Source organism: Homo sapiens, chromosome 18 (genome assembly GCF_000001405.40).
Source record: "Homo sapiens chromosome 18, GRCh38.p14 Primary Assembly".
Lineage (NCBI taxonomy): Eukaryota > Metazoa > Chordata > Mammalia > Primates > Hominidae > Homo > Homo sapiens.
In genome coordinates this window covers 74,496,015-74,523,454 of record NC_000018.10, presented here as the reverse complement: position 1 = coordinate 74,523,454, position 27,440 = coordinate 74,496,015, and the positions used below count along the sequence as shown (strand labels likewise).

The 27,440-nt window shown below is 51.1% G+C and overlaps 1 protein-coding gene across 8 annotated transcripts, besides 9 other annotated features; it reads right to left on the bottom strand.

Annotated features, from left to right (window-relative positions):
• On the bottom strand, positions 1 to 27,092 carry CNDP2 (carnosine dipeptidase 2). 8 transcript variants are annotated; one of them, NM_001370249.1, is made up of 14 exons: positions 27,024 to 27,092; positions 25,860 to 25,946; positions 25,105 to 25,339; positions 23,422 to 23,518; positions 21,983 to 22,126; positions 17,444 to 17,606; positions 14,527 to 14,615; positions 12,442 to 12,642; positions 10,923 to 11,007; positions 9,736 to 9,896; positions 7,063 to 7,227; positions 4,815 to 4,956; positions 4,359 to 4,506; positions 1 to 3,456 (listed from the first exon to the last, which is right to left on the bottom strand). In NM_001370249.1, exons 4-14 carry the CDS (start codon positions 23,479 to 23,481, stop codon positions 3,387 to 3,389), a joined length of 1,428 nt encoding a protein of 475 aa, NP_001357178.1. In that variant the 5' UTR covers positions 23,482 to 23,518; positions 25,105 to 25,339; positions 25,860 to 25,946; positions 27,024 to 27,092; the 3' UTR covers positions 1 to 3,386. The 8 variants fall into 8 exon arrangements, with proteins under 8 accessions (NP_001357178.1, XP_047293580.1, NP_001357183.1 ...); XM_047437624.1 differs by having other exon boundaries at positions 25,105 to 27,092; NM_001370254.1 differs by lacking the exons at positions 25,105 to 25,339; positions 25,860 to 25,946 and having other exon boundaries at positions 12,222 to 12,642; positions 23,422 to 23,573.
• Positions 12,450 to 12,949: an enhancer, noted in NCBI's record as "H3K4me1 hESC enhancer chr18:72177741-72178240 (GRCh37/hg19 assembly coordinates)". NCBI's record gives its function as "activates a minimal SCP1, AML or CMV promoter by ChIP-STARR-seq in primed H9 embryonic stem cells {active_cell/tissue: H9 hESC(primed)}" and the evidence as "EXISTENCE:reporter gene assay evidence [ECO:0000049][PMID:30033119]".
• Positions 12,950 to 13,451: an enhancer, noted in NCBI's record as "H3K4me1 hESC enhancer chr18:72177239-72177740 (GRCh37/hg19 assembly coordinates)". NCBI's record gives its function as "activates a minimal SCP1, AML or CMV promoter by ChIP-STARR-seq in primed H9 embryonic stem cells {active_cell/tissue: H9 hESC(primed)}" and the evidence as "EXISTENCE:reporter gene assay evidence [ECO:0000049][PMID:30033119]".
• Positions 23,655 to 23,824: an enhancer, noted in NCBI's record as "active region_13499". NCBI's record gives its function as "activates an Ori minimal core promoter by ATAC-STARR-seq in GM12878 lymphoblastoid cells {active_cell/tissue: GM12878}" and the evidence as "EXISTENCE:reporter gene assay evidence [ECO:0000049][PMID:35858748]".
• Positions 23,865 to 24,064: an enhancer, noted in NCBI's record as "active region_13498". NCBI's record gives its function as "activates an Ori minimal core promoter by ATAC-STARR-seq in GM12878 lymphoblastoid cells {active_cell/tissue: GM12878}" and the evidence as "EXISTENCE:reporter gene assay evidence [ECO:0000049][PMID:35858748]".
• Positions 25,984 to 26,083: an enhancer, noted in NCBI's record as "active region_13497". NCBI's record gives its function as "activates an Ori minimal core promoter by ATAC-STARR-seq in GM12878 lymphoblastoid cells {active_cell/tissue: GM12878}" and the evidence as "EXISTENCE:reporter gene assay evidence [ECO:0000049][PMID:35858748]".
• Positions 26,467 to 26,979: an enhancer, noted in NCBI's record as "H3K27ac hESC enhancer chr18:72163711-72164223 (GRCh37/hg19 assembly coordinates)". NCBI's record gives its function as "activates a minimal SCP1, AML or CMV promoter by ChIP-STARR-seq in primed H9 embryonic stem cells {active_cell/tissue: H9 hESC(primed)}" and the evidence as "EXISTENCE:reporter gene assay evidence [ECO:0000049][PMID:30033119]".
• Positions 26,467 to 27,266: a biological region, named in NCBI's record as "H3K27ac hESC enhancer GRCh37_chr18:72163711-72164223".
• Positions 26,577 to 26,626: a silencer, noted in NCBI's record as "silent region_9544". NCBI's record gives its function as "represses an Ori minimal core promoter by ATAC-STARR-seq in GM12878 lymphoblastoid cells {active_cell/tissue: GM12878}" and the evidence as "EXISTENCE:reporter gene assay evidence [ECO:0000049][PMID:35858748]".
• Positions 26,757 to 27,266: a silencer, noted in NCBI's record as "silent region_9543". NCBI's record gives its function as "represses an Ori minimal core promoter by ATAC-STARR-seq in GM12878 lymphoblastoid cells {active_cell/tissue: GM12878}" and the evidence as "EXISTENCE:reporter gene assay evidence [ECO:0000049][PMID:35858748]".

The window sequence follows — 27,440 nt, the reverse complement described above, 5'->3', positions numbered from 1 at the left end:
TTACACCAGCTGAAACAACAGTATTTATTTACCACGCCTGTTTCCCACTTGAGAAGATCCAGCTCCATGCATGAGTGGGAACCGTTCTTCATACTTTGCAAAGGGGTCACAGGGTCATTTCTGTCTTCATAACCTCTCTGGGAAAGTGGTTTGTGCTCTTCTGACACAGGACGCTGAGGCTCAAGTTCACAGAACCAGCCGTTAGTCAGACCCATTCAGTCCAGGGTTTTACAAAATTGTTGTTTACATCAAAACCAGCTAGTGGCATGCCAGCTCAGCTTCTAACATAAAGCAGTCTGGACGTGTGCAAATGTCCATGCCACCCCACTTAGGCATTTATCTGATCATGGGCCAGGCTTGGGTCGGGCACTGGGAACGTGGAGCTGTCGAGATTGCCCTTGTGCTCCTGGAAATTCCACGAGGGACTGAGCTTGCAGAGATGGAGGTGAGCATTGGCACTTTACCCAGGAGTCATCGGCCTTCTAGTAGAACACCACTCTGATTTCCTCCGGGAGATCACCCTCCGCTAGCACTTCCAGAGGCGACGACCTCACACTTGCTTCCAGGGGAAGCTGACTGGCCTGAGCCACACAGGCTGCTGCACGTGTTAGCACGGTGACCGCCGCAGGCTGCTGCAGGTGTTAGCACGGTGACTGCCGTAGGCTGCTTTTTGCTGCTGTAACACAATGCCCAAGACTAGGTAATTTACAATGAGCAGAGATGTATTGGCTCAACGTTCGGGAGGCTGGGAGGTCCAAGGTGGAGGGACCGGAACCTGGCAAGGGCCTTCTGGCTGTGTCATCCCACAACACAAGGGCTCAGAGAGGGGTAGAGAGAGCAAGAGGAGGCCAAACAAGCCCACTCCTACAATAACAGCATTCACTCAGTCAGGAGGACAGGGCCCTCATGGCCTGACCAGCTCTTGAAGGCCCTGCCTCTTAATACTGTTACAATGGCTATTAAGTTTCAACACGAGTTTGGGAGGAGCCAAACATTCAAAGCATAGCACCTCTCAGCATGGGTTCCTGACTAACGGGGGCCCATATGCAGCTCGCATGCATGAGACACCAGCAGCTACTCTTAGGATTTCTGGGGGAAGACCATGCAGTTCTTTTTGCAGGATTAGAAGCTGAAAGAATGCATTTCTCACAGTTCTGATGGAGGAGTTGAGTTGGAGCCACAAGCCCAGATAGCACTGAGTGCTGGGTCCAGCTGTACCTGAAGCCGCTACCCTTGTCTTCTTTTTTTGTTTTTACTTTGAAATGACAGGAGACTTAGAGAAAAGATGCAAAAGCCATAGAGGGTCCCCAGATACACTTCACCCAGCTAACCTCTTATGCAGCTACAGCACAATGATCAAAACTAAGAGATTAACATCCACGTAAAACCAACTACAGATTTTCCTCACATTTCATCCGTTTGGGTTTGTCTGATGTTTTGTCACGATGAGTGTGATGTTCCCAGAACTGGCATGTCCTCCTCAGGGAGTGGTGTTGGGGGTGCTGATGTGGACGTGTCATTACTGCTGAGGTTCATTTTGATCTGAGGGTGGTGCCTGCCAGGTCTCTCCACTGTGAAGTTACTGTTTTCCCCTTGGGAGGTGCTTTTAAGCTAAGCAAATATCCCGTTCTTTAAACCTTTGCCTACCAATTTGAGAGTGTGTCAGGGGTCTCACCTGCAGCAGCAAGTGCTCCAGCTTTGATCTCCCACCTTCCTCCCACATGAGCAGAGATTCTTCATCCAGGGGCACTGGTCCTTCTCACCCACTTTGTCACTTTATTTATATTAGTATGGACTCATGGATTGTTGTTTATTCCATGGTAAAAATCCAACACTACTGCTATTTTCTCACTCCAATTGCTCCCCTGGGCCCCTGCAAACTCTTCCAGGCTGGCTCCTGTGTCCTTGGACGCAGCCCCACGCCCTCAGGAGCGCATCCTTACGTTCCGATGTGAGAGGGTCCAGACTCATCTTGCATCTTCCCTGCCCAGCCCTGGAACCAACCACTTCAAGGAGCCTTTTCCTTTCATTGAGTTTACTCTGTTCTTTTATGTCAAGTGGGCCAATCAATTCTTTGTTTAAGCCAGCTGGACTTCCTGTGGCCCCACAGCCGTTAAGGAGCAGAGACAGGGACACTTCTCGGAACATGCAGGGGGCCACGAGTGAGCCTCCACTTGTGTGGACGAGGGAGGGAGTGCTCGCCTGGGAAGACCTGGGTTCTGTTTTCCGGGTCCTGCCTGCTGTCCCCTGCCCTGAGCTGACACCACCAACCAGACACCACTCAATAAGCATGGTGTGCACGCGACGAGCAACTGAGATGGAGCGATTCTTTTAGAGGTGTCATGTTTACTTTTTATTTAGGAGTACAAACTGAGACAAAATCATCCTTCCAGTTAGTGAGGTTTTGAGGGATCATACTAAAGAGAAGACAGGAAAATGCCAGTAATGGTGAAGGTCTTGAGAAAAGGACAGGACCCGCAGATAGCGAGAGATCAGAGGAGGCCCTAATTTCTTTCCTCATTTCCTTTCCAAATATCCCAAATGTGCAATGCATCACCTGAGACAGAAGGCAGAAAGCATCAAGCTCTCTGTTTATCCCAATTCAATGACAACCAGAACTTATTTTTTTTGAGATGGGGTCTCGTTCTGTCGCCCAGGCTGGAGTGCAGTGGGGCATTCATGGCTCATCGCAGCCTCCAACTCTCAGTCTCAAGCAACCCTCCTACGTCAGTGTCCTGAGTAGCTGGAACTACAGGCATGCACCACCACACTTGGCTCATTTTTAAAAAATTTCTTGTAGAGACAGGATCTTGCTACATTGCCCAGGCTTGAGTGCCGTGGTGCATTCACAGCTCACCGCAGGCTCAAACTCTTGGTCTCAAGCGATCCTCCTGCCTCAGCCTTCTGAGTGGCTGGGACTACAGGCATACACCACCATGTCTGGCTCATTTCTTAAACTTTTTGTAGAGACAGAGTCTTGTTTTGTTGCCTAGGCTTGTCTCAGACTCCTGGCCTCAAGTGATCCTCCTGTCTTGGCCTCCCAAAGTGCTCGATTATAGGTGTGAGCCGTGGTGCCCGGCCGACAACCAGAACTTTCCGCAGACCTTGTGCTTTTGGACCTTGGGTATCTTCTGCAGGTCAAGCCATCCTGACCACTCTGAGAACTTACCCAGGGTGACTCAGCTGTCACTCCAGGTCACTCATAAGCCCAACGGGTAGCTCCACCCGTGGACAGCTGGATACACTTGTGTCTGTTCTCTAAAGTCATGGATGACCTGACAAGAGGGAAAGGAAAGAGGGAACCTCCACTTCCCTGGGCAAGTTGGAAAAGGGTGAGGTGAGGGCAGGATTCCTTCTCATTGGAGATGGCACACAGAGGGCTTGGCCTAGTCCTTCAGCTGGGAGACCTCATACAGGTACGCGGCCAGCATCTTGGTTCCCTCTATGTAGTTATACCTGGTAGAGAGGAACACATCATTGTGTTGGCTGGTGTCGTGAGCCAACACCCAGGTGTGGGGTGACTCCTCCCGAGCCCAGACACACTCTGCCTTCTTCCTGGGGAGCATCCCCCATCCCAGCTTGGGGGCCCTGAGCCCTGCTTGCCTTCAGAATTCAGCACCCCGGTTCTCAAGTGCAGCTTCAGTCTGACTGCCCAGCCCAGAGACCAATCCTGGTCCCCTAGTGCCCCGGTAGTAAACGTCAAGCTCGGATCGTGGGCTCCTCCCATTATCCGCTTGTTTCTGAAGACCAGGCCTCCCCACTGGTCCTCGCAGCCAGGTCTCTGTCACCCCTCCCTCCTTCCTGCAGGGTCTTTGCCTCTGTCTTAGTCCTTGATCGTCTGCCTTGGTTACCCCAGGATGCATTCTTGCCTTCTGCCCTCCTCAGCAATTTTAGGGGCCAGAGGCCTCCCCCGGAACTACCCAAGACCCCTGCCTGGTGGGCCCCTCCTGCTCCCAAGGCTGGCTCAGAGGCTGCACCCGCCCCGTTGTGGGAAGAATTCCCATCACGTCCGCCCAAGTCAGGGATGTGTCAAAGCAGCAACGTGTGCAGTTAGCAATGACACTGCAATTCCTCAAAAAGGAAACAGAAAAATGAACAGGAAAAAAAGGAAATGGAGAGAGGGGTAGATGAAGTGCAGAGATAAACACTGCATGAACCTTGTTTTTAGCACCCCTCTCCTGCAAGGCCTCGTCCTGCCTCCCATCTGAAGTTCCCACTTCACACAAATACAGGAGGGCAGGTCACGGGGCCATCACCCCCACCTGCTTCTCTTGGCAGCTGCACACGGGGGGAAGGGGAAGGGGCGAGAGGGACGCTGTGCAGGAGACGCCAACCTGGGCCGCACCCTGGACTCTCACCTGTTGAGCTTTTCATTCTGGGAGTGGGCTCCGTCATCCGCTGACCCCACAGGCAGCAGCATGACGTTCTTGCCCGTGGCCTCCTGAAAGGTCAAGGTCACGGGAATACTGCCGCCTTCCCTGGTCAAGTCTGGCTCAACACCAAAAACTGGGGGGAAATGAAATAAAATAAACGGTGAGCTTTGGGGCCCTAAGGCTGGGGATCTGTCTCAGACCACTACTCAGTAGCACTCAGTCAGATGCTGTGCAAGGCCCTGGGGACAGCAAGCCCGCGTTCAAGGTCCGCCAGGGGTCCAGGCTCATCCCACACACTAGCTGTCCTCATGCTGACTTAACTACACGCCCCCACGATACAGCAGCGCCCCCGACATAGCTACACGCCCACGCGATATAGCAGAGTCCTGTCAGACGTGCGAAGGGCCCTGCGCGGCATCATCCACAAGGAGAGCGTCCAACCTGTCTTCATGGCTCTTCTCCCAGCCAGGTAATGAGGGTGACTGAAGTCGGAGACCCAGGGCTTCCCACCGTGGCCCATGTACACCTTGAACTCATTGGGGCTGCGTAGTTCAGCAAACTTCTTAGTTAGGTAGCTTGTGACCTAAACCACAAATAGAATAGAGGTATACAATGCTTTATAAGCTTGCATTTGATCCAGTGCTAGTGACCTACGGGTCTGCTATCATGGGTCTACAGCGAGCTTACAATCGGCCTCTGACAGGTCTGTGATGGGTCTATGCTGAGTCTACGATGAGTCTCATTTTCTGTTGCTTAATACTGAGCTACATAACTAGAGTAAGGAAAGAGGAGACTTCTTTTTTTATTTTTTATTTTTTCTGAGATGGAGTCTCGCTCTGTTGTCCAGGCTGGAGCACAGTGGCGTGATCTCGGCTCACTGCAAGCTCCGCCTCCCGGGTTCACGCCATTCTCCTGCCTCAGCCTCTCTGAGCAGCTGGGACTACAGGCGCCCGCCACCACACCCGGCTAATTTTTGTCTTTTCAGTAGAGACGGGGTTTCACCGTGGTCTGGATCTCCTGACCTCGTGATCCGCCCGCCTTGGCCTCCCAAAGTGCTGGGATTACAAGTGTGAGCCACCGCGCCCGGCCAGAAAGAGGGGACTTCTTATCAAAAAATAAAACCCAGTTATTTCAAAGTAAAAGACAAAGTTTTAATATCAAGCAATTCACTCTTTCCAAAGATCTTCTAAATGATGATACTATTTAAATTAAGTTTAAAAACAATCTTCCCTGACCTGCTTTATATTATGGACAGAATGTTTGCGTGCCCCCAGAATTCATATATTTAAGCCCTAAACTCCATTATGACTACACTTGGGGACTTAACAGAAGTAACTAAGGTGTGAGACAAAGTCACAAATGTGAGAAGCTGCGTTTGCGCCATTCTGCTTGCCGGCCTTTCACAGGCTCCACCCTGCCACTACCTGTAGCTCTCAGGAAAGATGCTTTGAAGACAAAACGGGGGAGCACACACCACCCCTGCCTCTTGCCCGAGTCGCTGCATTCCTTAGGAGATAAATGACCCTGTCCTTACCTTTTCCCACACATAAGATAGCACCTGACCGCATTAGTGGTTGCGCCTCTGTGACCTTTGACCACATGTGCTCTTACACCGAGGCTCAGTGTGGCTTGGCTGGAATGTAACATCTGAGCAGGTGCGATGTGATTCAGCACGCACCGAAGCTCCTCCACCTGCAGATGAGCTGCGGGCTGAGCCGCTCTCTCAGAGCAGCCCAGCCAAACCTCTCCAAGGCTGCTCCTGGGCCCCGGGCCGCAGTCCGCATTCCTCAGTGAGGCGCCTGAATAAAACTAACTTGAATTCTTTAAAAGCCTAGCTTTTTTTCTTTAGTAGTTTTTTTTTCTCTTTCTAAACCTTATTTAGACAAAGGTTAAATGAGGCCAGAAGGGTGGGCCTGGGTGAGAAGATACCGAGAGCCTGCCCTCTGCCATGTGAGGACAAGCGAGGCCAGCGGCCACGGCCAGGAGGAACCCTCGTCAGATGCCACAGCTGCCGGCACCTTGGTCCTGGACTCATCCGCCTCCGAAACAGTGAGGAATCCGTTTCTGCCACGTAAGCTATCGCGTCTGCCACGTAAGCTACCGCGTCTGTGGTCTTTATTGTGGCAGCCTGAGCAGACCGAGGTACTTCATAAAATCAATGACCACAGGCTACACTGCATCCAGACCCAGGATAGAGCCAGGCGCTGACCCGGGGACACCTCCTCGTGACAAGACCTCAGTATTCAGCATGAAGGGTGAGCCCCAGGCTCCCATTCCCAGTGGGAAGACTCCATCTCCCCAGGAATCCCAGCTGAGGGGGACAGTCAGAAGCTGGGCTGACCTCCAGCCACCAGAGTCCCCTCCACAAGGCACCATGGTAAGGGGCGGCTCTGGGACTCTGACCAGAACACGCTTGGTCCAAAGTTGGTGTTTGGCCTGGAGCCTTGAGGTGAGTGAGGTCAAAGGCCAGATTTTGGCCTGCCTCATCAGTAACAAAGGTCACTTACATGTGATGCATTATCTTTGATTAGCTTCTGAACCGTGACTGTCATAATTACTGACTTGGCCAGAGCCAGGAAGCGGGGGCATGCATGGCCCGGGTGTCTGTCGAGTAACAGCCTATATTACCCAAGTCTCTGCCCGGACACAGTAGCTCTTGGCCCCCACCCCGTGTCCCAGCCCCACATGCCTGCTCGCCGACGACTTCAGGAGTCATGTTCGGCACGAGCCTGATGGAGAACTTGCCAACCACCTTCCTGGGAATCACGGTCTTGGCCCCAGACCCAGAGAAGGCGCCTTCGATGCCATGGAGGGACAGAGACGGGTACCGCCATCGGTGCATGAGGATGTCTTTCTGCAGAAAAATCAGAGGGTCAGGGACACCTCAGGCATTCAGTGCCAGCCCTGTCTGCTCACCGAGGAGCTGGGAATGTTGTCTGGGAAATGAGCGGTATGAAACAGGGCCTGGCCCAGGAGCCTGACAACCACAGGCAGGAGGTCCAGGTGCAGGTGCGACTGCAGTGAGTGACTCAGCACAAAGGAGGCCCCTGACAGGCTGCACACCCTCAGGTGAGGCATTTCACTGCCCGTCGCTGCAGCGTGGGTGGCTCAGGTCCACCTGGCAGAACTAGGCGAGCCACGCTGGCCACTGAGCACCTGTAGAACTGGGGGTGTCAAGGTCCCACAGACTTTGGAGCTCTTGATGAGCCAGAGGCACCAGGAGTAAGAGGGGATGCAGCCCAGGCTGTGTGCAGGCCTCTCCCAGGCCCATGGGACACAGGCGAGCAGCCCGTTCCTACTGAGAGAGGAGAGCCAGGCTGACCAGCACATCCGGTATGGCCCCCTGAATACCGATGATGCCATCTCCTCAGACCAGGAGAGACTTCATCTCCTGTTTCCCAAGTGTGTCATCAATATCATGACCTTCCTGCCTGCCCCCGCCCCCTGCATCCCTGCAGTAGCAGAAGGTGGGTCAAGAGAGTAGGTGTGCCCCCAAAGGGGGCTTCCAGAAGGTTCCTCAGTGACTTATCCACTGAATGTGTAGATTTCTGTTTGTCAACCAAACAGCTCAGTGTTATCTGGGAGGAACAGACAAGGCCCTAAAACACTGTACACAGAAGCAAACACGAGCCTGAGGGTCAGGGCAGGAGAAACAGACCCACCTTCTCCCAGGCCCGCTCCTCCCCGTGCCCAACCCCTCGGTCCCTGACATCACTGTCCAGTCACTGCCGGTGGGGACCTTCTCTTCCTATTCCAGAGGCTCCTCCCTGATGCCAGCCAAGGCTCCCGTGCCTGCAACAGCCTAACGGGTCTCCTAGCTCCACCGACTCAGCTCTGACATCCTGACCCATGATCTTTCCCAATGTGAGATCTGATGAACTCAAATCCTGGCCGGGCTCACCATCTCCTGGAAGACCCGGAGCTCCACAGCAGCGCCCAGGCCATCAGGCCGGCATGTCGGTCTCAGTCCCAGGCCTCACCCTGCTGCCCATCTGTCCCTAAGCAGCTGATATGTCTGTGCTCCTGCTGACCGGGCATGCCAGCCTTGCCCTGCACCTCTGCTGGCTGACAGGACCCTGATGAGCCTCAGCCGCTCCCAGCACCATGACCCTCCCCTCGTGCAGGCCCACAGCCTTTGGTACTGCCCAGCGTGGCCCTCAGCATATCCTTCCAGAGTTCTTGCCTGTCTGTCTCTGGGAGACAAAACTCAAGAGCCCAGCCGGGCCTTATTTCCCTTGTGTCCCAGGGGCTGAGTTGCTTAATTCAACTGATGCTGGCTCAATCAATGGCACAGAACTTTCATCTATACTGCATAACCCTACAGCCTGCAGAACTTACATCCGTACCGCATAAACCCACAGCCTGCGGAACTTACATCCATACCACATAAACCTATAGCCTGCAGAACTTACATCCATACCACATAACCCTACAGCCTGCAGAACTTACATCCATACCACATAAACCTATAGCCTGCAGAACTTACATACGTACCACGTAAGCCCACAGGCTGCAGAACTTACATCCATACCACATAAACCTATAGCCTGCAGAACTTACATACGTACCACGTAAGCCCACAGGCTGCAGAACTTACATCCATACCACATAAACCTATAGCCTGCAGAACTTACATCCATACCACATAAACCTATAGCCTGCAGAACTTACATACGTACCACATAAGCCCACAGCCTGCAGAACTTACATCTGTACCGCATAAACCTACAGCCTGCAGAACTTACATCCATACCACATAAACCTATAGCCTGCGGAACTTACATCCATACCACATAAACCTATAGCCTGCAGAACTTACATCCATACCACATAAATCTATAGCCCGCAGAACTCACATCTGTACCACATAAACCTAGAGCCCGCAGAAGTTACATCTATACCGCATAACCCTACAGCCTGCAGAACTTACATATGTACCGCATAAACCTACAGCCTATTAAGAGAAAAGTCATGACCCACTTTTCCCCTAAGTTAGGTAAACGTTCGGCACAGTTTCCACCTAGCACTTGGCTCTGATGTGGCTTAAATGAGCCCTGGGCCCAGCGGTAAGGAGGTTACTCTATAAACACAAACACAGCAGAGCCGCTGCCAGCAGGAGCCAGCCCATGTCCCCTCTGCATGCTTCTCCAGGTCTGATGGAATCAAAAGTAGATTTTGAAACTAAAAAATTCCAACGACCAGCAACCTGGTCACAGTCTGCTTTCTGAGTGACTCATGTGCATCGGACATTCCAGCTCTTCCCTCAGAGACCCCCTGGACCCAGGGAAGGTGACAGGGCCTGGGGGACACCTGTGTCACAGCGTGGCCTGGGCAGGTGGCAGAGTCGAGCCCTGAACCAGACCTTGTGGCTGTGCAGGAGGATCTGCGCCCCCACATCCTTGGCAAACTCCTCTATGTCAAAGTCGATGTCGTCGTACAGCTTGTGCTCCTCTTCCGTGACGGCGGCCACGGCCTCGTTAATGCCGGGGATCAGGATGTTCCCCCTCTTGTCCACCAAAGAGCCTGAGGGAAGCCGGAGAGGGTTACAGCACTCAGGGGAGGCCGCACCAAGGCGAGCTGCTCTTTCCTGCACCGACCCCAGGAAGCCAGGCTCAGGAGAGATGCGGCTCAGGCCCCACAGCCACGTGGCTGAGGAGGGGCCAAGAGCAGCCACAAGCGTCCACAGAATGATGCTCGCAGATGCATCCCATGCACATATCGCCTGTCAGGCACCGTCCGGGGCCTCAGGCTCAGCCAGTGATGTAATCAGCCAAACAGCCAATGAGGCAGCAGCTTGGGCATTCCCATTTCTCAGGTAAGGAGACTGAGGAACAAGTGGGGAAAGGAAATTGTCCTTGGTCATAGACCACGACGCAAACCAGCAGACTGGCTTCACGCAGCCCCACTCTAACAACCACCACACTGCCCCATGTGCCTTTTTAATGCGCATTCCACAAGAAACAAGCTGCTCCTGAGCTGAGGGGGGTAAACTGTGGGTATAACAGAGTGGACGTCACGCAGGCAGCTGGCGTTGGCAGGGAGGAATGGAGAGCTTGTGGAAGGTGCGGGAAGGGAGGGCTGTGCTTGGCCTGAGAGCAGGAGGACACCGGGAACAGCACGATGGGCTATGCCCGCTCTCAAAGAGCTGATCAGGCGGGGGGACCTGGATGGGGCCAGTTATACATAAGACAGGCCAAAACACACGCCCTGAGAGAGATGGAAAATGACCACACCAGAGAAAGGACAGCACCACGTGCCTCGAGGGGCTTGGCCAGACAGGACCTGGGGGTGACTGAGTTGGGTGCTGGAGGCAGGGCAAGGTTTCACCAGGTGGTGACAGGCACAGGAGGGTTTCAGGGGCAAAAATCAAACAAGGGGGCCTCTCAGAGGGACAAGTGAGTGGAAGGAGGGAGAGGCACAGTAGGAAACTGAGACAGAAGTTGGTTCATGTGGAATGCTGAAATGCACCCAATGCTGATGACAGACAGCCTGGAAGTCACGCCCATCCACTTCCCCTCAACTGCGGACTGAATGCCATCCCGCACTTACCCATCAGCAAAATGAGATCAGTCATGGCCTCATGCACCGAGCCCCCGTACACCCCAGAATGGAGGTCTTTGTTGCTGCACTCCACCTGCACGGAAACAAAGGCCACTGTGTCTGGCTGCCTAGTGGGAGCTTATTTTTATCATGTGACAGTAAATTCAACAAAGAGCATTTACAAGGCCTGACAATTTCCCAAATCAAAATTTGCTCCCTCAGGGAGCAAAGCAAGGCATTTCCCAAATTAAAAACCTAGGCAGGAACAAAAACATACCAGCTTATCTGTGGCATATGCCAACCACAGATAAGACGGTAACACTAGCCACAGGTACAAGCATTCCACAGGGCAATCTGCCTACCACTCAAAGCCTTTGCTAGAAGTTTAACAAAGACCCTGCACCTCTGCTGAGAGGGCAGCCCAACAGGAATGAGACCCACCACAAGCCTGGAGCTGGAGACCTGGGGTCGGACCTCGCCCTTGCACTGAGCAGCTGCATACCCAGCGTAGGGCAGCTGCCTGCTGAGTGCCCGGCCTCCTCGCCTGCAAATGGGAAGAGGCGTAGTGCTCCTCCCAGCACTGGGGATGACAGGCAGCCACTTTTAAAACCAGAACAGTACCTTGCTCAGAGTGAGGGCTCAGGGCAGCAACTGCAGTGATTTCTAGCACTGTTCAGGTTATAAATGACGTCTGCAGACAGGACCTAATTTAATCACCACAGTCATCCTGTGGGGTATTGGGAGATGACCACCAGCCAGTGAGTGGCAGAATCTAGCCAGGCCTGTCCCTTCCCACTCTTGGTGCTGCCTCGGTTTCTCTTTTTTTTTTTTTTTGAAGTGGAGTCTCGCTCTGTAGCTCAGGCTGGAGTGCAATGGTGCAATCTCCACTCACTACAACCTCCACCTCCCGGGTTCAAGCGATTCTCCTTCCTCAGCCTCCCGAGTAGCTGGGATTACAGGCACCTGCCACCACACCTGGCTAACTTTTTGTATTTTTAGTGGAGACGGGGTTTCACCATGTTGGCCAGGCTGGTTTCAAACTCCTGACCTCAAGTGATCCATCTGGCTCGGCCTCCCAAAGTGCTGGGATTACAGGCGTGAGCCACTGCACCCGGCCTCGGTTTCTCTTTTTCCCGTGCGTCACTTAGTCATGGGATAAGGAGCCTAAGTGCTAACATATAAATATTTCCACCTTCAAAAGGAAGTGTTTCTAAAATGCTTTGTATGTGTTTGCATCTTCTGAAATGAACTAGCATTTAATCTCCTCTCAGCCGCTCCAAAGCAACATTACAAATCACACTGTCCTACCTTGATGCTGCTGTGAGATTAACTTCTGATCACTGGAAGTGTTGCTGTCCACCCTGGTGTAGGACGGTGGTTTATGGAAGCTGGGAATTGGGGCACTAAGTGAGCCCTGTGCTTCTCCTTCCTGTGCACCTGACTTCTGGGTCCTTGTCTACTTTGCGTTTGGGAGAACCGGGAGATTCAGGGGTTAGAAAGAAGTGACCCGTACAGCTTGGCACTGTACCTCGATGAAAAAGTAGCAAATGCCCCTGAGGCCGTAGGTGATGCAGGGCTTCTTCTTTCCCAGCCAGTAATTGTCAGAAATGCAGACATAGTCCACATCCTTAAAGAATGTGTCTTTCCGGGCAAAAATCAGCTCGTCTAGGCCCTCAGAGCCTGACTCCTCCATGCCTTCGAGGCAGAATCGGACGTTGACAGGAATCTCCTGTGAGAAGGGAACAGCACGAGTGGATATTCAGCTTTGCGAACCTTCCTTCTAGAAGCCACACTCAGGATTACATATTTCACATCTCCGGCATTCTCCAGACAGACCACATGGGCCTCCGTGTGCACCTGTCATCACCCCCTCCCCAGGTACTGCCAGGCCGCTGTGGCTCCAGGCCACTTGGACTGGTCCAGTCTCGCAAGGTGGGGCTCTCTGGAGTCACCCCACATGACCGAGGGGAGCTTCCAGGAAAGCCTGTGCTGCTCCCTCTGCAATAAGGGCCACGACACGAGGAACACCACGTGAGTCCTGATTATACCAGCGGAGCCACCGACACGAGGAGGTGCGGGTCCTCCTGTGTGACCTTCGCTGCTCCCGGGCACAGAAGCGCTGCTCTCCCCGAGGAGCCTGATGGGAATGTGCCCACCTTGCCGTGTGTCTGGATCATTGTGGCTTTGCAGGTGCTCTCCCGACTCTGACCCCCACACCCAAAGGTGAAAAATGAGGTTGTGCGTGAAGCTGGCGATTTGCCAAAGGCCAGGCAGGCTAAAGAACATCAGGGCCTAAATGAGGACTCAAGGCTACTGAGTCCTATTTCACGACCACCCAGGCTGCCCCCAGACAGCCCTGTTCATGGATGTGCTTCCTCCCCTGCCTCCTCCTCCTCTTCTGCCCGTCACATGAAATCTTCCACAGGACCTCTGCCCGTGCACAGCCACCTGTCACACTTGGTTGCCCCAGAGCCCGAGGTGCCTCCACTGCAGCTGAGGCTGAGGGCTCCACGGGGCCAGAGGTTGGGGAGGCTTCCTAGTTCCCGCCCAGCATGCAGGCTCGGCCGCACCAGGCCAGGTGGTTCTGGGTGTCACCTCCCCACCATGTAAAGTAATCCCCCGGACCAGCAGGGCTAAGACCCTTTTCAGACCTAACATTCCATGCTTTGACAAAAATGCTTATCTTATTCTTATGTCACCATGATACAAGATAAAAGCAAGATGCAAAGATGTCTATACAGCATGATCACAACTAGGAAAAAAGCAACAGAAAATCTTGGTAGATTTCAAAATACTAACTGTCTTTGGATTCTAGGCAAGTATTTTTCTCTCTACTTGTCCGTTTTTTAGCAAACTTTGAACAACGAACAGATATTTCACAGGTAGGAGAATGCTTTTTTTTTTTTTTTGAGACAGAGTCTCGCCCTGTCACCCAGGCTGGAGTGCAGTGGCATGATCTCGGCTCACTGCAACCTCTGCCTCCCTGGTTCAGGCGATTTTCTTGCCTCAGCCTCCCAGGAGCTGGGATTACAGGTGCCCACCACCATGCCCGGTTAATTTTGTAGTTTGAGTAGAGACGGGGTTTCACCATGTTGGCCAGGCTGGTCTTGAACTCCTGACCCCAAGTGATCCACCCACCTCAGCCTCCCAAAGTAATTCCTCCCAAAGGAATTACAGGTGTGAGCCACTGCACCCAGCCAGAGAATACATTTTAAAAATCAGAATTTATTTTTAGGAGGACGTAAACCACACAGAGACAGTGAGGGGCCTGTGTGATGTGACAGAGCCTGCACTATGTTCTGGCAAGGGACCACACTCACAGAGACAGGCAGGGACTGAAAAGTCACATTTCATGCGGTGGCAAAAATCACGCTGAGTCGCCAATATTGTGACCTTTAAGCAGCTGTAAAACAATTACACTTTGAATGTTTCCTAAAGCTGGAAAACAAACCTATACTCTTACATCCGAGTCATCTGTGCTGATAAGGGCTGGGGGACGCTTGTCTTATCTTTTCCTGTGAGCTTTATAAGCTGTTGTGTGAACAGAGAGCCTGTCTTTGTATGGCTCAGATGGAACCCAGGACTCAGGCAGAAGTCAGCGTGGGGGGCATACCTGGCCTGTTTTCTGATACGCTTCCAGGGCGTTTATCCAGCCGGCCACCGGGCCCTTATCATCAGTCGAACCTCTCCCATACAGCTTGCCTAGAACAGCAATCCACAAATTCATAAAGTGATGATTACAAGGAACCCAGAAGCAGCGTGTCTCAGGTGCACATCTGATAACCCCTTAGCCAAGCAAACACGAGAGAGGCTTCCCCTTCCGATCAGGAGCCCCCAATTTCCACCCAACACTATCGTTAAATTTGTCAGAGAATTTGGCATCATCAAAGAGATAAGCCACGTGGATGCTCCCAAGAACCCCTTCCTTCTCCCACCGTGGTCACGGTGGTCAGGTGGGGGCATGGCTTCCTGCTGGGTCAGGGTGGAGACCTCCAGTCTAACTCCAGGGAGTCGCAGCCAGCTGCTTAGTTCATTAAAACCCATTTACCAGAAGCAGCGGGGAGCAATGGGGACAGGAAGCCCAGTCACTTAGGAACCTCAAGGCACCGTTGTCAAAAAAGAACCATAATCTCACCCCCACCCAATTGTGACACCTAATTTGATAAAAAAACAAAGAACATGTTTATCATTTAACCTCTGCTTCTTTCTTTCTGTAGTTATCACTCTGAAAACTACAGACAAGACGCTGCTTCTAATCAGCGTCATCAGTCACAGCGGCCCCTCACCACAATTGCTTCTGGGGAAGCTGACAACACAAGCGACAACTTGAAGACAAGGCCCCACGCCTCCTCCATCCTCTGCCACGCAGTCCCGGCCTCATGGAACCAGAGGAGGGAGCCGTCCTCAAGGCGTGGCCTTCTCGTGGGCCTGGGTCTGCGTGGCCAGTCTCCTGACCTCCCGGGGCTCAGCCTGCTTCCCAGGTCCCGCAGCCTCAGCAGGCCCCAGCCCAAGGTAGTATGAGGCTGAAAGTCATCACCACCTGGGGAATTTCCTTTGACGAATGAAACCCAACTTTTCACAAAAACTGAAGATCAAATATAAGCTTTTCTAAAACAACAATCCTTATCCCTACAACAAACACTGAACAACTACAGCGGCTGGCACGGTGCTGGCTCAGAGCTGCCGACAAATGTGACCTGCCCCCACCCTCCAGGGCTCCCTGACAAGGAGAGGGAGGCCGGGCGGCTGGCAGTGAGTGAAGTTTTCCCACAGTACAGGTGCTCTTCTAGGTTCCTTGACAGTCAGGAGCCTACTGAGACTGGGACAGGGAGGGCTAAGAGGATGGCTGGAGGCAGGCCTCACAGAGGACGAGGCAGCGGTGATGGGGCTGACGCCCGCGCAGGTGCCCAGGTGCAGTTTTGAGCAGCACAGGCTCCTGGGGGCTGCACGTGGTCCCGTGTGGCTGGGTACAGGTGGGAGAAGGGGCAGGCAGAAGGCAGGTGAGGGGAGGGACCCTCTGTGCCATCCTGAGTCCCCCAAGAGGAGTCAAGAAGAGAAGTGGCATGTTGAGGTCACTCTGGGAGCAGCCCAGAAAAGGAGTGGCACCGTGAAGGCCCAGAAGTGGAGAGCAGGACCCAGCCACGGAGTGGGTGAGGGGGACAGGGAGCTTTCAACGTGGGAAGGGCAGTGGTCCCAGAGGAGAGCCTGGCAGGGATGGGGACCCAGTTCCCAGTGCAGGTGGCAGAGAGATGGTGCCATCCGCGGAGACTGTAAGACAGCGGACAAGGAGCAAAGACAAAGACTTCTGTCCAGAGAGAGCGAGTTCCAGGAGTGAGGGCACGGCCAAGCAGACAGGTGGGTCTGACGCTGGAGGGGCGCCCAAGTGCACAGAGAGGGTTAATCCTACAATCCACCGCAAGTTAGTAATTCCACCGTGACAAGGACAATGACATGGAATTACATCTCATAAAAAATGTTGCTTTAAGTAAAGTCAGTTTCAGTTTTGCACAGTAATGAACACAACTGACACTGGGCCAGGAAAGGTTTGAACACAGATGCAATGATCCAGTTGGAAGGGCTTCGATGAGAAGAGCCTGGAACTTAGCCCAGAGGGGCCCAGCATGAGGGTGGGAGGATTCCTCATCTGGTCAAAGCCTCCCGTGCAGGCACATGTGGAAATTCAGAAATGAAAGCAGAAGGCCTTTACACCAGAAGGAACAGGAAGAAAAGAGGCTGGCCTGCGGGGTCCCTCATAGCACGGGCCTCAAAAGGCCTGCAGGTGCCAGGCCCACGGAAGCACTTGGTGAATAACAGGGACATCGCCACCCCCACTGGGGCAGCCAGGGTGAAGGAGGCCACTAACATATACCGCAGAAGCAGCTGTTGGTAAGGGCCGGGGAGGGGGACAAGGGGACAGGCTTTTCAGGAAGGCCCTGCCTGGATTCCAAATGTGCATTCTGAGAAAAAGCATCAGCAGTAGAGGAAGCCTGGCAGACGCCAGCCACGGGGGGCTCATTTGCACAGGAAAAGGCAGGCTTTCTGGAAGTTCAGCAACAGAGGCACCTGTAAGAAACCTCCATTTCTAGCTTACGTTAAAAACAGTCTGTGCCCGGCGTGGTGGCTCAAGCCTGTAATCCCAGCACTTTGGGAGGCTGAGGTGGGGGGGATCACTTGAGGTCAGGAGATCAAGACCAGCCTGGCCAGCATGGTGAAACCCCGTCTCTACTAAAAATAAAAAAACTAGCCAGGCGTGGTGATGGGCGCCCGTAATCCCAGCTACTGGGGAGGCTGAGGCAGGAGAATCGCTTGAACCCCGGGAGGCGGAGGTTGCAGTGAATTGAGATCTTGCCATTGCCCTCCAGCCTGAGCTACAGAGTGAGACTCTGTCTCAAAAAAAGATTTTTAAAAAGTAATAAAATAAATAAAATAAAATAAAAACAGTCTGTACTGGAAACAGAAAAACGGACTAGCAATGACTTTCCAAAAGTCAGTGCCTTTCCTCTGGGCACGCATAGGCGCGCGGCGCTCACCGTCTCGCTCCACCAGGGTGAAGGGCTCGCTGTCCCAGCCGTCCTCCAGGGCTGCAGGCTGCACATCCAGGTGCCCGTAAATGCACACGGTCTTCTTCTGTGGGTCGGAGCCCAGCCTGCCGAGCAGAATAGGAGGGAGCGGGATCTCCGAGCCATCAGGGAGCTGAGCATGGAGAGGAAAGGAACCAAGGACAGCCTTTGTTTAAGAAATTCAGTGCTTAAGGTGGAGATTATTAAAAGACCTTGAGCTTCCTTATCTGTCCTTATCAATCAACCTCTATTGTAGAGTTTAAGAGCACACTGTTCAATGGAGTCACTAATTAAGATTTACTTTCTTACTTTCTTGTACTCCAGAGCACATGTACATGTTTGCCAATTGCAGGCAGTTTGGTAAATTTTTTTTTTTTTTTTTTGAGACAGAATCTTGCTCTGTCACCCAGGCTGGAGCGCAGTGGCGTGATCCCAGCTCATTGCAACCTCTGCCTCCCAGGCTCAAGCGATTCTTAGGTCTCAACCGCCCAAGTAGCTGGGATTACAGGTGCCGGCCACCATGCCTGGTTAATTTTTTGTATTTTAGTAGAGACAGGGTTTCACTGTTGCCCGCACGGTGGTCTCGAATTCCTGAGTTCAGGCAAACCACCCACCTCGGCTTTCCAAAGTGCTAGAATTACAAGCATGAGCCACTGCACCTGGCTGGATTTGGTAAATTCTTAAAGGCTGGTTTTTCTTTGACTTTTATATAACAAAACACGCAGGCTGAGTTCGGGATGCAACTTAGTTTATTATTTTCTGAAATGATGGTTAAAATAAACTATAATCTTAAATCAGAAGAGGTATTTTTGAAATTCTGTACATTGATTACAATTATGCATGGAAAATGCCATAAACCAAGATATATATAAAAAAATCTTTATACCTAAATTCACATTTAGCCATTCTAAAAAGTTAGTGATAGCAGGTACGCCTTCTGAGCTTTGTCCCAGAAGCACTACCAATATTCCACAATCCCATAGGAATGGAGAATGGGACAGGCATCCCAGCCCACCCCTGCATCTAAATGGAGGCAAATCAATCTTAGGTCTTTTCCAGTTTTCACATCAGGTCAGTGGTCTCCACCTTTTACTTTAGACTATGGCCTACTCAGGCTGTGCAAAACTCCTGTGGCCATGTAGCTCCTCTACCAGTGCCTATATTCCAATAGGAAAATACCCCATGATCATCACAAAGTGTCACAAGCAAGTGGCAGGAGATGCTTTTAGCTGTAGGAGGAAGAGACTGTTCATACTAAAACATGACATACATATATATTAGTCTAGTTGCTAGAAAATACTGTTCATGAAAATAGGTATTAACAGACACAACGCAAAAACTAAATTGATAATGAAGTTAAATTAACAGTTTGCAATTAAGAGGTAAAATGAGCAGTCACTGAAATGACAACTGGATCAGGACAGTGCTGGTGATAGGCTGAGAAAAGTGTCCCTTCCAAACTGCAGGGCCTCCAGCTCTAAGTGTACAAGCACTTTACGAAACTGGGCAGGTGGCTGGGATTCTTATGGGATCCAGGATTTGTGTTCCCAGTAATTTAAGTAACCCCTGCAACCTGAAGGCTGCTAGTGTGCTGCGTGTGGCCTGACGCCCCTCATTTGTCCCAGCGGCAGTGTGGCTGCGTGTGCAGTGTATGGCCTGACGCCCCTCATTTGTCCCAGTGGCAGTGTGGCTGCGTGTGCAGTGTATGGCCTGACGCCCATCATTTGTCCCAGCGGCACTGTGGCTGCGTGTGTGGCGTGTGGCCTGACGCCCCTCATTTGTCCCAGTGGCAGTGTGGCTGCGTGTGCAGTGTATGGCCTGACGCCCCTCATTTGTCCCAGCGGCAGTGTGGCTGCGTGTGTGGCGTGTGGCCTGACGCCCCTCATTTGTCCCAGCGGCACTGTGGCTGCGTGTGCAGTGTATGGCCTGACGCCCATCATTTGTCCCAGCAGCAGTGTGGCTGCGTGTGCAGTGTATGGCCTGACGCCCCTCATTTGTCCCAGCGGCAGTGTGGCTGCGTGTGCAGTGTATGGCCTGACGCCCCTCATTTGTCCCAGCGGCAGTGTGGCTGCGTGTGTGGCGTGTGGCCTGACGCCCCTCATTTGTCCCAGCGGCAGTGTGGCTGCGTGTGTGGCGTGTGGCCTGACGCCCCTCATTTGTCCCAGCGGCACTGTGGCTGCGTGTGCAGTGTATGGCCTGACGCCCCTCATTTGTCCCAGCGTCACTGTGGCTGTATCTGTGCCTCAGTTCTCACCAGGACAGCCTGTACCCACCAGGGACAAAGAATTGTGGCTGAAATCTCTCTGCTCTGGTCCCAGGGAACCCATGGCTTTGGCAGTCCCAGCTGGCCCTCAGCTTGCCTGAGCAGAAAAATGATTTTCAAATGACCACAGATTTTCTCTACATAAATTCCTGTTCAATAGGGCTCCTCTGAAATACTTAGGCATTTTCTGAGAAACTGCTTTGGCCCACAGGTAAAATTGTTCTGAAACGCCCAACATCACCTTTCCTTCATCAGCTGAAAATACTCTGACTTCTGCACTGACACAGGAAAACACCCACTTCCACCTTCACCCCTGCATCAAGTCATCATCACTCTGAAAAACAGAACACCACTGCCACATGGACATGCGGGAAGAGAACAGAAGATGTGTGGTCACCCCACACCGCAAGCATCTCTGCAGAAGATTCCACCAGTGATGAAATATTTCAATTCCTTGATAAAAATCAGTGTTATGTAATTCAAAATAGTATAACAGTAATTTAGTTTTTTATGAAAGGCCCTTTCTTAAGAATTGCACAGCAATGTCAGTGATCAACGAAGTAAATATAACTATTGTAATGAAACAACTCCTAAAAATGATTTACCTCACCTAGATTTTTCAATATATTAGGAAAAAAAAAAAAACGAAAGGGAGCAAGGTGAGTCTGACCCTAAAAAGAAACAACATGAAGAAACTTGGTTTAGTCTCCCAAAGATGGGGGGAAAATTGGTGGGAAGCTATAATATACCCTAAGTCAATTATTAAATTTGTTTTCAGAAGAAAACCTCAAATGAATAGCACTGCCTGGGGAATCAGGAGGCCTGGGCATGAACCTGCTCTGCATGAGCCTCCTGTGGGCTCCCAGTGGACAGAGCTGCCTGGCCTCCACTCTCTCCCTCTGATGAAACGAATGCGCTGAACTGAATGGCCACACTCAAGCTTCTAGTGCTGTGATTTCAGATTGACACCCAAATCATCAGGCCAAAGAACCGAGATAAGCCATAGCTTATCATTAGATCAAAGAATATAAAAGAATATTACAAACTTTGAAAATATATGGCATGAAACATGCAATTAACATAAGGCTGAAATCATTTGAAATAAACTAGTGAAATAACATACAGTAAGAGGCCGGGTATGGTGGCGTGACAATTTGGGATGCCAAGGCAGGTAAATCGCTTGAGACTAGAAGTTTGAGACCAGCCTGGAAACATGGTGAAACCCCATCCCGACAAAAAAAAAAACCAAAAAGACAAAAAAAACACACATATATATACACACACACAGTAAGTCCTCACTCAACTTCATGGATAGGCTTTTAGAAACTGTGACTTTAAGTGAACAAAACTACCTTATTCAAGGACCTGTTGTTGTATGTTGTCTTGCTTAAAGTTGCAGTTTCTAAGAACCTATGGATGACGTGAGTACTTACTGTACCACAAAGTGAGACTGTTCATTTAGCAAGAAAACAAACCATTCTCACCTGTCAGAATCCTGCACTGAAAAACAACAGACCCCCACACAAAATATCTCTTATGAAAAAGTGGCTCACACCTGTAATCCTAGCATTTTGGGAGGCTGAGGCAGGCGGATCACCTGAGGTCAGGAGTTCGAGACCAGCCTGGCCAACATGGCAAAACCCCGTCTCTACAAAAAATATAAAAATTAGCTGGGTGTAGTGGCGCTCGCCCAGCTACTCAGGAGGCTGAAGCAGGAGAATCGCTTGAACCCGGGAGGCGGAGGTTGCAGTGGGCCGAGATCACGCCACTGCACTCCAGCCTGGGCGACAGAGGGAGACTCTGTCTCAAAAAAATAAAAAAAATAAAAAAATAAGGCTCAAGGACGCAGCACTGTGTGTGAGGGGGAGCCGGGGGTTGGGGGGAGTCTTTATAATTTTTAAATGGACTTGAATAAAGTGTAACTTCCTAGTTTGAAAGCTTATGGATTGCTGGGAGGGGAATCTCAGCCATTCTCTCAGAATGACTGTTACATTAACTTAGTCCTGAGTAACTGTCAGCAGTTCTCCTTCCTGGAGAAAAATGCTGAGTGCCACAAAACCTTTGCCCCAATCCAACTGAAGCAGTCACGTACAGAACTTACCATCCAAATCAGGCCCTTCCTTTTTTGTTTTAAAGGTGAGTGGGGTATGTGAAGCAAAAGATCTTTTAAGAACTTGTGGCGTCTTGTCAACCCCTCAGGCAGAATCTGTCTACGGTCCTGCAATGCAAAGAATGTTGCCTCCTACCTTTTGTTTTCCGATATCCACCAGTTCCACAGAGCCCCCCAACTGCTTAACATCTGCAGCAGCAACTTCCATCATCCTCCTGATTTCGCCTCTCTTCTCCGGCCACGCAGACACACTCTGGATAGCCACCCATTTTGCGAGTTTCTGTTTGTGGACAAGAAGCAACGAGGGATTCTGAAAAGGTGTCCTTGAGGGAGAAGAGGCTCCCGTAACGTTGCCACATTCCAGGCTCACCCTCTGTGGCTGCTGCAGTTGAACAGGCTGATTGGAAATAGGACAGACCCATCACGTGTGCTTTGGGTTAAAGATTTTAAAAACTGTTTGTACTGAGGGAAGAGAGAGACCCTCTCATATTGTTTTACACTCAGTACCTGTTTAAAAACAAACAAAAAAAAAACAAGGAAGTGAAATCAAAGACAGGCAGCCCGGCGCCAGGCCCAAAACCGGACCCGGGCCTGCCTGGCCTAAACCTAGTAGTTAAAAATCAACTCATGACTTAAAAACCGATGTTATTCATAGATTCCAGACATTGTATAAAAGAACACTGTGAAATTCCCTGCCCTGTTCTGTTTCTCTCTGACCACCGGTGCATACAGCCCCTGTCACGTACTGCCTGCTTGCTCAAATCAATCACGACCCTTTCATGTGAAATCTTTAGTGCTGTGAGCCCTTAAAAGGGACAGAAATTGTGCACTCAGGGAGCTCGGATTTTAAGGCAGTAGCTTGCCGATGCTCCCAGCTGAATAAAGCCCTTCCTTCTACAACTCGGTGTCTGAGAGGTTTTGTCTGTGGCTTGTCCTGCTACAGTACTAACCCTGTACCAAGAACTAGAGTACAAAAGAAAAATGTCACATGGTTTATTTTTAACAATTAAGGAGGAAGTAAATGTAAAATGTACCAGGTTCCGTAAATAAGTTTTTATCTGAATGTGACTAAATTACAACTGAAAGATACAGAAAATACCCAATGTTGCCACAGTCCAAATTAGCTTATTTATCATCCCGACAATGGCCAAATTTTCTAAAGTATAATTTTAGCATGAGAATTCTAAAGATTTCATCTGTAATGTATGTACGAAGAATAACTTTAAAACATAATGCTCTAAGTTAACATCAAGAAACAGATTAATATATAACTATTGAATTACTTAGAACATACTTAATGCAAACTATTTAATCTGTAACTATCACAAGAAATTGTTGATGGAGATGAAACAAAAATTTCAATTAGATTTGCTATTCTTAGAAACATACATTAACACTTTGTCAAAAACCAAAAGTGTAACCTATGCCATAATAAGAAGCTAATGAACAGATCTCTAGGCAGATCTTCTAACCCTGGATTTAAATGGCATAATTCATATTAGCTCTTGACAACTTCTCTGGGCCCCATGGGATTAAATCAGATTTTACTGTTTCCTAAAATGAATATTCCCTTACCTTAATGTAGCGATCCTGATTTTCATCTATGTACTTAAACAGGGTAGTGAGGGCCGCCATCTTTCAACCAGACCCCAGACCGCAGATCTCGAAGGTTCTTGGAAGGAAGAGCAACTGGTCAGTCCTGTCTCTAGTGGAGACTGAGGGGCGACCTGCCCAGAAAGCACGTGTTCAGAATTGTAAATTGTTGCCCCACCCTCCCAGCCAGCACTGCAACACCCAGCCAGAGACGCTCCAGGAAGTGACTGCGGCTTCAGAGACAAAAACTTTGGGAACCAGTTAGAGGCTGGGGCTAAACTTCCCTTCTTTACTTGGAAGGAAAATTACACAAAATTCCGTGTCAGATGGCAGGTAACAACAGAGGGAGGGCCTGAGTTGAAGAAAATACAGTGAAAACTAAAAGTAGGCACTTTTAGTTTTACTGGTACTTTAATAAAAATTTTTACACTCTTAAAGCACAAAGATAAGTTTCACTTTCTGTTATTGCAGAGGATATAGTCACTTCAGGGATCCCAGCAAGAATGTCACATCCTGTGTCCACCACCACAAACCCACAACACAGACGACAGAGCCCAAGGAAAACCAGATTCAGTTTAAGAAAGTTGATGATCTTAGTCCAGAAACAGCCAAAGGGCATCAGCTAAACCTCCACAAGCACCTGACCAAGAGGCCACACAGGCTCCAGCGCGCATGCTCTCACCCCACTTCCATGTGTGACACCCAGCAACTTCCGCCCCACTCACAGATAGAGGTGAAAACACATCCTCAGACTCTTTTTGTTAGTCACAATGAATACAATGGAAAATTGATTCTGGTATTGGGACTTTTATAATTGGCTTTCCGCAGCAGAAAGCACACAGCTGTACGGAGCAAATTCAAAACTGCGGGGACATGAAGTGCCTCAGAGTCACAGCTGTGGAGTGACAGGACCCTACTACAGCCTCGTGTCTACATGCCAGACAAACGCCTGTGCATTGACATGCTGCAGGTAAAGAGCATTGTTTCCTTGGTATAGGCTTTCAAAGTGATTTCTCAACAGAGAGGTGACTTTATCCACCACGACACCAAGCGTGGCAACTGTTCAAAAGTGGCTGTTGCTGTGCAGGGTGATGAAATCGCAGGGCACTGCAAGTTGCAAATGTGATTTCTATGTGGGTGGGACATCCAACCACTGCCTTCTCAAGTGCCCTCTTCCTCCTCTTCAAACACTAGCCACAGAGCATGGAATGGTTATATACCTCCCAGCCAGCTCGGATCTTTCTGCTGAGGCACTCATTTGGAGGAGCCTCAAGTAAGATGGAGCCCATGAGCACGCTGGAGAGGCGTTTATCAGTGTTAATAAATAACACTGTCATCCACCTGTTGCCAAAAATGTACGCAGGGAAGCTACCTGTTCACATTAAAGGAAATCCTATTTAGCAGGACAATATGCTACATGTGGTGATTTTCATCTGGGTTCCTGGTTATTAAATGCCACAAATCCCAAGCTCACTGTGGTACATTCTCATTAATATTATTCTCTTGTAGTCAAATTAACCAGTGGCATTGTAGCTAAAGTCACTCAAAAATATAGTCACGTGCCACATAACATTTCCATCAACAACAGCGGTGGTCCCAAAAGATTATAATGGAGCTAAAAAATTCATTTTCTGTCTAGATATGTTTAGATACACAAATACCTACCACTGTGTTACAACTGCCTACAGCATCCAGTAAAGGTACATGTACGGGTTTGTAGCCTAGGAGCAATAGGCTACACCATATAGCCTAGGTATGTAGGAGGCTGTACCATCCAGGTTTGTGTGAGCGCAGCTCAGGATGTGCACACAACAACGAATCGCCTAACAATGCATTTTCTTGGAATGTATCCCCATCCTTAAGCAACATATGACTGTAATTATCTAAGTTACGACTTTCACTAAAAGAGAGGAAACAGGGATCAGATTGTTCCACCATCAGAGATGGGCTAAAAAGCAACTCCTGTTAATCACTCATCCAGTCAAACCAGGCTAGGCCAGGTTCCAGTTTCTCCTCCCATTCACACTTCTGGGTTACTCCTGTTTCACTTCCCCCCACCTCCCCCGTTACAAAGCCATTAAATGGAACCATTTTTATATGCTCTGGAGAACACCACTAATTAAGGTAAAAGCAGTATGCTGATTTAAGCAAAAGCATTATCCTTTTAAATGACACCTCACTCCCCTCTAAAAATCTAAAGTTCATACGGAGTAACTTTATTTATTTATTTAGAGACAGGTTGTCATTCTGTCACCCAGGCAGGAGTGCATTGCTGTGATTTTGGCTCACTGCAACCTCTGTCTCCCAGGCTCAAATGATCCTCCTGCCTCAGCTTCCCAAGTAGCTGGGACTGCAGGTGCGCACCACCACACCCAGCTAATTTTTGTATTTTTTGTAGAGACGGGGTTTGCTCGTGTTACTCAGGCTGGTCTCGAACTCCTGGACTCAAGCGATCTGTCCGCCTTGGTCTCCCAAAGTGCCGAGGTTACACACATGAGCCACCATGCCTGGCAAGGGAGTAACATGATTTAAATGTTGAGACTAGTGGAGGGCAGGAGAAATTGCTGTGGCACCTGGAACCGTCAGTAGTACACACAAATGAGTCTTCTAGTTCTGAGAATCTCAGTCCCTGTCCCTTGATAATTGAAGGCATATATAACACAAATAACTGAATCACACCTTCATGTCTGATTAAGAACCAATAAAAGAATCTCCAATCTGCCCAAGCTAGAACTTGATCCCTAAGCATAATGTGGACTTCTCTTCCTCCACTCCTGCCTGCAAACATTAGGGACAAGGAAGGTATTGGTAGCAGGCCCCGGGTTCTCCGCCTCTTCCTGCAGTCTATGCTTGGATGATCTACGGAATCTGACCTTGGCAGGCGGTGGGGAGTTTGGTTTGGTGGCCCTGTCTGTGAGGACCAAATATTGTCTCTATTTCACAGATGAGGAAACTGAAGCCAATTGAATAAGACACCTGCCCCAGACCATCAAGCTGGCATGGGAATTTTGTCTCCCCTCAGACGCTTCCTCCTATAGCCTTAAACGCTGCCTCAAATGCTGGCGGGAGCTAGGGACGCTGTCCAGGGCCCTTTGAACCTGGGAGGCTTCTGTCCCGCCACACTCCCCACCCCAGGTCTCCGGGAAAGGGATCCGTTGGAGAAAGGCTGGAGTTCTCAGCAGGCCCCTGGGGAGGGGTGTGGCCTGACCAGCGCTCGGCTCCCCGCAACCCCATCTCCAACCCGGGTCGTTCCACTCGACTCCACCAGGGAGGGCCACGCAGGCTCAGGCCAAGTGCGCCGCCCAGCTTGTCCCTGCGTACCGGGGACGCGCTCGGCGCTGCTGGGACACGAGTGGCCCGGAGGTGCGAGAGGCCCCGGGGCCATGGCCGTCACGGGCCTCCGCCCCCGACCGCGCGCTCGGGAACAGCCCGGACACCATTGTTCCCGCCTGGCTGCGGCCGGGCGCCCCACGCTCCCCCACGAATGAGGCGTGACTCTCGCCGCTGACCCGGGTCCTCCCCGCCCAGCCCGTTCCCAGCTCAGGGCGCCCACCCGGGAAGGAAGGTCCATCAGGAAGACCCACCTGGGAAGGAAGGCCCACTAGGCAAGGCCCTGTTACCAGCAGCAAGCGCGGCGCCGGTTCCGTACCACGTGTCCCGGCCACGACCCCCGGCGCTGGCCCGCCCCGCGGTCGCCCTGGCCACCAACCCCGCCTTGTCCGGAGGGCAGGCATCGCCACGCCCCCGCCACGCCCACCAATCCAGCCACAGGCAGAGGGGTGGTGTCACTCTCTCCCCGCCCCATTTCCGCCCTGAGCCAGGTGCGGAAGGTGACGTCACCTCTCCCAGCTCCATTTCCGTCCCGCCCACCAATCCCGGCCTGGTCCACAAGGCTTTCGCCTCGTCGCCCCTCCCCGACGGTAGACGGGGATGTGGGCGTGGCGAGGGGGCGGAGATTTCGTGGGTTGGGATTCAGGGGAGGCAGGGCACACGGGAGCGCG